General features: G+C 51.1%; 1 protein-coding gene across 6 annotated transcripts in view; it reads left to right on the forward strand.

Annotated features, from left to right (window-relative positions):
- The window catches only part of C2 (complement C2), a 47,890-nt gene that overhangs the window by 24,998 nt on the left and 11,522 nt on the right, over positions 1-11,370 (forward strand). For 2 of the 6 annotated variants that reach the window (NM_000063.6, NM_001282459.2), the window contains exons 1-5: positions 4,937-5,018; positions 5,175-5,384; positions 5,952-6,137; positions 10,830-11,003; positions 11,087-11,185. In NM_000063.6, coding sequence (NP_000054.2) covers positions 4,973-5,018; positions 5,175-5,384; positions 5,952-6,137; positions 10,830-11,003; positions 11,087-11,185 — 715 coding nt within the window. In that variant the 5' untranslated portion in view covers positions 4,937-4,972. Of the gene's footprint in view, positions 1-4,936; positions 5,019-5,174; positions 5,413-5,951; positions 6,138-10,829; positions 11,004-11,086; positions 11,186-11,370 lie in introns of those variants that run through there. The other 4 variants (NM_001282458.2, NM_001145903.3, NM_001178063.3 and 1 more) reach the window with 4 other exon arrangements.

The following is an 11,370-nucleotide window of genomic DNA, read 5'->3' on the forward strand; positions in this document are numbered from 1 at the left end:
GCAGTGAGCCGAGATCGTACTGCTTCACTCCAGCCTGGGCAACAAAGCAAGACTTTGTCTCAAAAACAAAAAACCAAAAAAACCAAAAGCAAAAATCCAACTCTGACTAGGAGATGAAGTACAGAATTGGGGTATTGGTTTTTTCTCTTTGGAATTGTACCCTTGGAAGCAGATATTAGAAGCCTAGAATTGATAAGAAGAAATTTGGACAAGATGGAAGAAGCTGGCAGGAGAGGCATGTCTGTTTTTTAGATATTATTCACCTGCTTCCCTCTACCTGGAGTGAAAACACGGTTACATTTGCTGGGCTTTTGAATGGTACAAGAAATAGAGAAGCCAAGGTCGCCCTCATCTGGTGGGGTCTACTGAAAAGCTAATCGGGAGTGCCGAGGGGAATAAAGGTCTGGCATCTTTAGCCCCACAGGTCAGGTCATGGTCCTTCCACATTCGACTGGGCCTCCTGGAGAGCTGACAGTGGACTATAACTGACTTTTTGCCAATGGAATATGAATGGAAGAGTGGGGTGGGAGGCAGACTTGATGGAGACCCTGTTTCAACCATGCAGACAAGGACAATTTCCAAAGGCATGAACCACAGATGGAAGGAAGCTGGAGGCCTGAAGGAGGCTGATGAGCAGCTCTGCCAGCCAGGGCCACACACGCCATCTCAGCCTTGTCTGCTTACCCTGAGCCTCTTATTTTGTTTTTATTTTTTTTTTGTTGAGATGGAGTCTTGCTCTGTCACCCAGGCTGGAGTGCAGTGGCACGATCTCCGCTCACTGCAAGCTCCATCTCCCGGGTTCACGCCATTCGCCTGCCTCAGCCTCCCGAGTAGCTGGGACTACAGGCGCCGCCACCACACCCAGCTAATTTTTTTTTTTTTGTAGTTTTAGTAGAGACAGGGTTTCACCATGTTAGCCAGGATGGTCTCGATCTCCTGACCTCGTGATCCGCCCGCCTCGGCCTCCCAAAGTGCTGGGATTACAGGCGTAAGCCACCGCACCCGGCCTCTGAGGCTCTTATTTATTTATTTTTTTTGAGATGGAGTCTCGCTCTGTCTCCCAGGCTGGAGTGCAGTAGCGCGATCTCAGCTCACTGCAAACTCTGCCTCCCGGGTTCCTGCCATTCTCCTGCCTCAGCCTCCCGAGTAGCTGGGACTACAGGCGCCTGCCACCGCGCCCGGCTAATTATTTGTATTTTTTAGTAGAGACGGGGTTTCACCGTGTTAGCCAGGATTGTCTCGATCTCCTGACCTTGTGATCCACCCGCCTCGGCCTCCCAAAGTGCTGGGATTACAGGCGTGAACCACCGCGCCCGGCCTCTGAGGCTCTTATTTGAAAGTGCAGCAAAATTCTATCTTATTTAAGTTACTGTATTTTAGGGTCTCTTTATTACAGAAGTTTAACGTGTATCCTAATAAACACACTTCTCTGAGTGTTGCCTTTGGCTCTCACATTGATTTCTTGCTAGGTATATCAGTTAGACATGGTTTGGCTTTGTTATAACCAAGCTAGAATAACAGCAGCTTAAATGGTCTGAGCATAAGTGGTCCAGGTCAATCCTATTAGCTCTACAGGATTGGAGAGCAGGGCCTCTTTAATTTTGTTTCTTTATCATCATCCACATGTGACTTCCATTTTGTGATCTAGGTGGCTGTTCCAGAGTCCACCATTCTGTCCACATTCCAGCTGGTGGGAAGGGAAGAAGTTTTATACATTGAGGAGTAAACACTTCTCCTTAAGAACATACTCTGTGGGCCCAGAAAACTTGGGAGTTTTATTACTTAAGCAGGAAGAGAGAATGAATTCTGCCACACTGTGCCAAGTTGATGTAGCTCAACAAATACTGGGAAAAACTCATGAAAGAAAGGCCCTTTCTTTTGAAGGCAGCTGTTACATATTAGTTTGATGGCTTTAAAAGGCACCCAAAGTTTAGTGATTTGAATGTTCAGTCAGGTTAGGCTTCATTACGTTCTGGTAACCAACAACCTAGAAATATTTGTTGCCATAGGAGGGCTTACAAAATATAGCCATCAGTCTCTCCTATTCTGATGTGCCTGCCCCTTTGCCGTGTGACTTTGCCATTCCTCCTATCAAGAGGTAAATTCTATGCCTCCAGTCTTAAATCTGGGCTGACCTTGTGATTTGCTTTGACCAATAGAATGTGGCAGAAGTGATGTTATGTGACTTTTGGGGCTAGGCCTCGAGAGACCTTGCAGCTTATGTTTTGGATTCCTCAGAAGTTGTCCTGAGACTGCCATGCTATGAGGGCTAGGGAGGAAGGACCTGCTGTCCTACTGTTAACTGAACTCAGCCCCTAGCTGACTGCCGCTGCATGGAAGATCAGCAGAAGAACCTTCTGGCCAATATGAGAAAGAATAAATCATTTTTAAATTTCCTACATATTGGGTGGGTACTTTTTTTCCTGCATTAGTAGAAATGCAATGAATTAAAATAACAAAGGTTTATTTTTTGGTCATATTACTTATCCACTGAGAGTCAGCCGAGTATTGCGCTTTTTTTTTCTTTTTTGAGACAGAGTCTCCCTATGTCACCCAGGCTGAAGTGCAGTGGTGTGATCTCGGCTCACTGCAATCTCTGCCTCCCGGGTTCAAGCGATTCTCCTACCTCAACCTCCTGAGCAGCTGGGATTACAGGCGTATGCCACCACGCCCAGCTAATTTTTGTATTTTTAGTAGAGATGGGGTTTCACCATGTTGGTCAGGCTGGTCTCTAACTCCTGAACTCAGGTGATCCCCCTGCCTCGGCCTCCCAAAGTGCTGGGATTACAGGTGTGAGCCACTGTGCCCGGCTGGTACTGTGCTTTCGATATCACCCAGGGATCTTGGCTGGTGGAGCAGCCACCATCTCAGACGTTACCATACAGAGGGGAAGAGCAGGGTGAAGACTACATTGAGCTTCCATCAGGAAGTGATACATATCACTTGTACTCACATCTTATTGGCTAAAACAAGTGGCTGGGGAAATCCTATCCTACCATGTGATTGAAAGAAGACAAGGCTACAGTATTTGTGAACATCCTTAAATACCCCCCACCTTTACGATAGTTTATTTCTCTCTTGTAACAATCTAAGTGGCTGTGCAGGGCTGGTATGACATCAACACTGTGTCAGACACCCAGGCTCCTCTGTCTGTTTGCTCTGTCATCCCCAGCATGTTGCCCTCATCCTCCTGGTGGAAGACGGATCTCCGCTAGGTTTATATTCCAGCCCATGAAAAGAAAAGGCACACTGCCTTTTTATTTTAGGGACATAACTTGGAAATGACATACATAAGTTCTACTAACATCCCATTAGCCAGAACCAAGTCACCTGGCTACCTAGCTGCAAGGGAAGCTAGGAAATATGGTCTTTAGCTGGGTGACTGTGTGTTCCCCTAACCATCTCTTACTGTGGAAGGAGGGAGAAAAGATACTTGAGGGGCAGGGGAGGCACTAGCAGCTCTGCCACAGCAGCCACTTTGGAGTCCCTAACACCAGGATGTCCTGATTTTCATGCACTTAGCCCTGTCCAAGGGGAGTCTCAATTTGTGTACTCTTTTTTTTTTTTTTGAGACAGAGTCTTGCTCTTGTCACCCAGGCTGGAATGCAGTGGCATGATCTTGGCTCACTGCAACCTCTGCCTCCCGGGTTCAAGTGATTCTCCTGCCTCAGCCTCCCGAGTAGCTGGGATTACAGGCCCCTGCCACCACACCCGGCTAATTTTTTGTAATTTTAGTAGAGACGGGGTTTCACCATGTTGGCCGGGCTGGTCTCAAATTCCTGACCTCATGATCCACCCGCCTCAGCCTCCCAAAATGCTGGGATTACAGGCGTGAGTCACTGTGCCCGGTCTTATTTTTTTTTTTTCTTTTTGAGATGTAGTCTTACTCTGTTGCCCAGGCTGGAGTGCAGTGGCACAATCTTGGCTCACTGCAACCTCCATCTTCTAGGTTCAATCAGTTCTCTAAGGACTCACTTATAAATCAAAAGGGTTTTTACGAACCTAAATGATCACTTCAGAGAGGTTTCATGTTCATTTTTTTATTGGTCTTATTTATTTTTACCCTACATTGTTCAAAAAGGTATTGAAAAGACTTCTGTGGGTCAGGGAGACTAACACACTAGCTTCAAGTTTCTTTGCTTCCTGCATTTCATACAAGTGTAGGTTATGATTTAAAGGCATATCCCAGCCCCCGCAAAAGTTTTATTCCTTTGAGTAACCAACCCCAAATGTATTTACTTTGCCAGTTGGGAATTTCATCTACTAGACTTTCCGTAAAAATGTTGTAAACATTTTTCCTGTCTCCAAAACTAAGTGTTGATTTCATTTTTTCCACCTAGATTATCTCTAGGGAAGGATTGTAGGGAATAAAAAAGTATTGTCAATCTTCCTATTTATCAAGAAGTTCTAAAAAAATTAGTTTCACCCCCCTCGGAAGTTTATCTTCAAGAAGACAGAACTGTTCTAGGCTCTCAGGAAGTAAAACCCACTTGGTACAACCCAAAAGAACACTAAAACTTTACTTAAATGAAATATTTTGCAATATCTTGGATGGTTTGTGGGTTTGTGTGCTTTAGACTATTGACTATTCACACAAGAGCAAGGTGCATGTGTGCACACACGAGCCCAAATATGTGTTTGCCTGCGTGTTTGTGAGCATGCGTGTATGGTGCACATGTGCACGCATGGGTGGGTGGAGCGTGGGGGCAGTACACAAAGCCTGTGGGGGAGATCTATTGACCCTATAGATATATTAGCATCAGGGAGACAGGGCAAAGGTTTCACCCTTCAGTTCAGTCCCCAATCCCTGCTTATTATTTCCCTAACAGAAGACCATCCCCCTTGCCACTCCCTGGTTTTTCTTCTCTGGCAGCAATGAAGCAGCTGCTGACCCAGCTCTAGTTTTCGGGAAGTCAGATGACCTTTTCCCTCCCGCGGCTCTCTACCTCTCGCCGCCCCTAGGGAGGACACCATGGGCCCACTGATGGTTCTTTTTTGCCTGCTGTTCCTGTACCCAGGTAGGAGGCAGGGAAGGGGGAACGTCAGGGTCCTGTGTGTGAGGTTGGTGCTCCCAGCTTGAATTCCCATGTGTGAAACAGTCTCTTTTGCTTTCCTTTTCTCATCTGTGTCTTCCTTCTTTCTCCATTGCTGTCTCCTTGTTCCCACGGCTCTAGGTCTGGCAGACTCGGCTCCCTCCTGCCCTCAGAACGTGAATATCTCGGGTGGCACCTTCACCCTCAGCCATGGCTGGGCTCCTGGGAGCCTTCTCACCTACTCCTGCCCCCAGGGCCTGTACCCATCCCCAGCATCACGGCTGTGCAAGAGCAGCGGACAGTGGCAGACCCCAGGAGCCACCCGGTCTCTGTCTAAGGCGGTCTGCAAACGTGAGGCTCCCTGTGGGCTTTGCTCAGGGTGCTACACCAGGGGCCACCCCAGAACTTTTGTTTAGGAGTTGCTCAGGGTGGGACTTAACCTGACTAGATGGCAAAGTTGCTTTTGCAGAGGGCTTTTCAAAATATCCAGAAAATGTCAATTGCCAGTAGCAAGGAATTGGGAACAGGTCTTGATGGAGACTGTGGGGTACTAAAGCCAGGGATGACTTTTTATGTACAATTGACTGCCTAGTAGTGACCATTCAGAACAGATGCTGAATGGTCCTGGAGTCCTCTAGACATCTGAGGATCCCAAGGGGAGTGTCTGGGGAGGCCACGGCCCTCAGGAGACTGAGGGAAGTGGCTATTTATCAATCAGTTCGCTTAGACTCTGTGAAATTGGCAATATTCAATCAGTTGCCAAAAACAGCAATTTCACATGTTGCAACCTAATATTTCAGTGTTTTGACAGCCAGTTGACCATTCCCATGCATTCCAGCATAAAATCACCTGCTTAATCCCCAGCCCAGGTGTTATCCATCCAGTCCTATATTCCCCACCCACTTCCTCTCTCTCCAGCTGTGCGCTGTCCAGCCCCTGTCTCCTTTGAGAATGGCATTTATACCCCACGGCTGGGGTCCTATCCCGTGGGTGGCAATGTGAGCTTCGAGTGTGAGGATGGCTTCATATTGCGGGGCTCGCCTGTGCGTCAGTGTCGCCCCAACGGCATGTGGGATGGAGAAACAGCTGTGTGTGATAATGGGGGTGAGTTCTCTGGCTGATGGGCTACACAGGGGGCTGGGGTCTCCTGGGGAACCCTGGGGCCCAATGTGCATCCAGGAAGCCTCTGTGGGGATAGGAGTCTGTTGTTCAGTGTGCCATAATAATATTCCTGGATTTTGGTAAATTGAGGTCTACAGGTCACACATCACAAGTCTGCAAGGGCCAGGCCCCAGGCAGCTGGTGCTAAGCTTCAGATGTAGCATAAAGCCTCCACACACTCTGCCTGGCTTTTCTAAGTGCCTCAAAGCAAGACTTCATATTCAGGCCCCACAGATTGTTGTAGGGAAGATATGCTGGGAGAGAGTCAAGTACTGTGCTTTAATGCCTTGCCTTTAAAGCCAGGTTTGGGTTCCAAGCCCTACTCTGACTTTGACAGACTTTGGGAAGGCTATTTAACCTTTCTAGCCCTCAGTTTTCCCATCTGTAAGACAAGGATAGTGAGTGCTGACCTGAGATTGCCATCTGGATTAAATGAGTTGACATTAGTAAGCATATACAACAGCCCTGGAGTGCGGTGGCTCACGCCTGTAATCCCAGCACTTTGGGAGGCCAAGGGGGGTGGATCACAAGGTCAGGAGTTTGAGACCAGCTTGGCCAACATGGTGAAACCCCGTCTCTAGTAAAAATACAAAAATTAGCCGGGTGCGGTGGCGCATGCCTGTAATACCAGCTATTCAGGAGGCTGAGGCAGGAGAATCATTTGAACCAGGAAGTGGAGATTGCAGTGAGCCGAGATTGCATCATTGCACTCCAGCCTGAGTGACAGAGTAAGACTCTGTCTCAAAAAAAAAAAAAAAAAAAAAAAATGCCAGCCTCGGTGCCTCACGCCTGTAATCCCAGCACTTTGGGAGGCTGAGGTGGGTGGATCACCTGAGGTCAGGAGATTGAGACCAGCCTGGTCAACGTGGTGAAACCTCGTCTATACTAAAAATACAAAAATTAGCTGGGCGTGGTTAATCCCAGCTACTCAGGAGGCTGAGGCAGGAGAATCACTTGAACCTGGGAGGCAGAGGTTGCAGTGAGCCGAGATCGTGCCACTGCACTCCAGCCTGGGTGACAGAGTGAGACTCTGTCTCAAAACAAACAAACAAACAAACAAACAAAAAACAAAAAAAACAGCCCCTGGAATCTGATAAATGCCATGTACACTTTTTTTTTTTTTTGAGACGGAGTCTAGCTCTTGTTGCCCAGGCTGGAGTGCAATGGCGCAATCTCAGCTCACCGCAACATCTGCCTCCCGGGTTCAAGTGACTCTCCTGCCTCAGCCTCCCAAGAAGCTGGGATTACAGGCATGCGCCACCATGCCTCGGTAATTTTCTATTCTTAGTAGGGACAGGGTTTCTCCATGTTGGCCAGGCTGGTCTCAAACTCCTGACCTCAGGGGATTCTGCCCACCTTGGCCTCCCAAAGTGCTGGGATTACAGGCGTGAGCCACGGCATCCGGCCTTGTTTTTGTTTCTTTAAGAGACAGGATCTCGCTGTGTTGCCAAGGCTGGCTTCAAACTCCTGAGCTCAAGTGATCTTCCTACCTCAGCCTCCTCAGTAGCTGGGAATGCAGGCATGTGCCACCACACCTGGCCATAAGCACTTTTGTCATAGTTATTGCTGCCCCTGTGAATGGTGAGGGGCTCTGCTTGGCAGAAGTAGGGCTCCTAGGATTCCCTGGAGCTGCATTTGCCTGTGGGTTTGGGAGCTTCTTGGATCATGGTTCTTAGCACATCATACAGAAGACACGGAGTCCACAAGATGGCAGGACCACCTTCACCTAGTGGCCCAGACCATGGATCCCCACTCATGCCCTTGGGTTTTGGCAAATGGCCATTTATTCTGTAGGAGGGTGAAGTAGATGCCTGGTAAGACTGTGATAAGTAATGCTTGAATTATTAGACGTGACTCTAACTTATTTTAAAATTGAGGCATAATTTACCTATTGTAAAATGTACAAATCTTAACTATTCAGCTCAATGATTTGTTACAATGCATCCACTCATCTAATCACCACCCAAGACAGAATGAGGTTCCCTCTTGTCCCCTCCCACAAGGTAACTGCTCTTCTGACCTCTGTCTCCATGGACTAGGTACCTTGTGCTTACATTTCCTGTAAATGGAATCATGCGGGATGTGGTCTGTTGCTTCTGGCATCCTTTGTTCTATATTCTGCCTGTGAGATTTATCCATGCTGTTGTGTGTATCAGTACTTTGTTCTTTTTTATTGCTGTGTAGTATTCCATTATATGGGTATATTACAATTTATCCATTCCCCTCCTGATGGACATTTGGATTATTTCCAGTTTGGGGCCATTAGGAGTAAAGCTCTAGGAACATTCTTTTTTTTTTTTTTTTTTTAATTGATCATTCTTGGGTGTTTCTCACAGAGGGGGATTTGGCAGGGTCACAGGACAATAGTGGAGGGAAGGTCAGCAGATAAACAAGTGAACAAAGGTCTCTGGTTTTCCTAGGCAGAGGACCCTGCGGCCTTCCGCAGTGTTTGTGTCCCTGGGTACTTGAGATTAGGGAGTGGTGATGACTCTTAAGGAGCATGCTGCCTTCAAGCATCTGTTTAACAAAGCACATCTTGCACCGCTCTTAATCCATTCAACCCTGAGTGGATACAGCACATGTTTCAGAGAGCACAGGGTTGGGGGTAAGGTCACCGATCAACAGGATCCCAAGGCAGAAGAATTTTTCTTAGTACAGAACAAAATGAAAAGTCTCCCAGGTCTACCTCTTTCTACACAGACACGGCAACCATCCGATTTCTCAATCTTTTCCCCACCTTTCCCCCCTTTCTATTCCACAAAACCGTCATTGTCATCATGGCCCCTTCTCAATGAGCTGTTGGGTACACCTCCCAGACGGGGTGGTGGCCGGGCAGAGGGGCTCCTCACTTTCCAGTAGGCGCGGCCGGGCAGAGGCGCCCCTCACCTCCCGGACAGGGCGGCTGGCCGGGCGGGGGGCTGACCCCCCCACCTCCCTCCCGGACGGCGCGGCTGGCCGGGCGGGGGGCTGATCCCCCCACCTCCCTCCCGGACGGGGCGGCTGGCCGGGCGGGGGGCTGACCCCCCCACCTCCCTCCCGGACAGAGTGGCTGGCCGGGCAGAGGGGCTCCTCACTTCCCAGCAGGGGCGGCCGGGCAGAGGCGCCCCTCACTTCCCGGATGGGGCGGCTGGCCGGGCGAGGGGCTGACCCCCCCACCTCCCTCCCGGACGGGGCGGCTGGCCGGGCAGAGTGGCTCCTCACTTCCCAGTAGGGGCGGCCGGGCAGAGGCGCCCCTCACTTCCCGGACGGGGCGGCTGGCCGGGCTGGGGGCTGACCCCCCCACCTCCCTCCCGGACGGGGCGGCTGGCCGGGCGGGGGGCTGACCCCCCCACCTCCCTCCCGGACCAGGTGGCTGCTGGGCGGAGGGGCTCCTCACTTCTCAGACAGGGCGGCTGCCGGGCGGAGGGGCTCCTCACTTCTCAGATGGAGCGGTTGCCAGGCAGAGGGTCTCCTCACTTCTCAGACGGGGCGGCCGGGCAGAGACGCTCCTCACATCCCGGATGGGGCGGCCGGGCAGAGGTGCTCCCCACATCTCAGACGATGGGCGGCAGGGCAGAGACGCTCCTCACTTCCCAGATGTGATGGCGGCCGGGAAGAGGCGCTCCTCACTTCCTAGATGGGATGGCGGCCGGGCAGAGACGCTCCTCACTTTCCAGACTGGGCAGCCAGGCAGAGGGGCTCCTCACATCCCAGACGATGGGTGGCCAGGCGGAGACGCTCCTCACTTCCCAGACGGGGTGGCGGCCGGGCAGAGGCTGCAATCTCGGCACTTTGGGAGGCCAAGGCAGGCTGCTGGGAGGTGGAGGTTGTAGCGAGCCAAGATCACGCCACTGCACTCCAGCCTGGGCATCATTGAGCACTGAGTGAACGAGACTCCGTCTGCAATCCCAGCACCTCGGGAGGCCGAGGCTGGTGGATCACTCGCGGTTAGGAGCTGGAGACCAGCCCGGCCAACACAGCGAAACCCCGTCTCCACTAACAAAATACGAAAACCAGTCAGGCGTGGCGGCGCGCGCCTGCAATCGCAGGCACTCGGCAAGCTGAGGCAGGAGAATCAGGCAGGGAGGTTGCAGTGAGCCGAGATGGCAGCAGTACCGTCCAGCTTCGGCTCGGCATCAGAGGGAGACCGTGGAAAGAGAGGGAGAGGGAGACCATGGGGAGAGGGTGAGGGAGAGGGAGCTCTAGGAACATTCTTGCATGTGATTTTGGTACATGTATGCACTTGCTTCTCTTGAGTAAATGATCTAAATGTGGAATTGTCACATCACAGGCTGGCATATGTTTAGTTGTAGTAGAGGCTGAGAAAGTTTCACCCACGTACATGCCAGCAAGGTAACAGAGTGCCAGTCGCTCTGCATCCTCTCCAACACTTGGAATTACCTGTTGTTTCAGTGTTAGCCGTTTTGATGGGTGTGTAGGGATGCCTCACTGTGGTTTATGAAATATAAATGTTCTCTGAAGGAGTGGAGGGACCATCAGCTGACTTCTTCCCTGGGTCTCTGGGGGCTCTGGGACAGACATGGGTGCATCCCTGGGTTGGAACTGGGAAGCTTCTGCTGGCAACTGAGGCCGCTGAGGAGGCAGAGCCTGATGGGAGGGGGCTACTCACCTCTGCCTTCCTTTGTTCACTCGCAGCTGGCCACTGCCCCAACCCAGGCATTTCACTGGGCGCAGTGCGGACAGGCTTCCGCTTTGGTCATGGGGACAAGGTCCGCTATCGCTGCTCCTCGAATCTTGTGCTCACGGGGTCTTCGGAGCGGGAGTGCCAGGGCAACGGGGTCTGGAGTGGAACGGAGCCCATCTGCCGCCGTGAGTAGCTGCCCTGCCCTCCTGAGATTCCTCGGCACACCCGGCCACTGCCCCGGCTGACTCCTGTGTGGCTCTCCCCACAGAACCCTACTCTTATGACTTCCCTGAGGACGTGGCCCCTGCCCTGGGCACTTCCTTCTCCCACATGCTTGGGGCCACCAATCCCACCCAGAAGACAAAGGGTGAGTGTTTGAGGTGGGGTTTCTGGTTGAGCAGGGTGCTGGATCTGGGCCGGAGCAAGGGAGGATGCAACCTTCCTGGAGGCCAGGAGCCTTGGTGGGCTCAGCCACTGAAAGGGAGGGAGGCAGAGAAGCTGGACCTGCTTGGCGAGAGCGCAGGAAGGAGGTGGGGATCTGAATCCTCCCCT

Source organism: Homo sapiens, chromosome 6 (genome assembly GCF_000001405.40).
Source record: "Homo sapiens chromosome 6, GRCh38.p14 Primary Assembly".
NCBI lineage: Eukaryota > Metazoa > Chordata > Mammalia > Primates > Hominidae > Homo > Homo sapiens.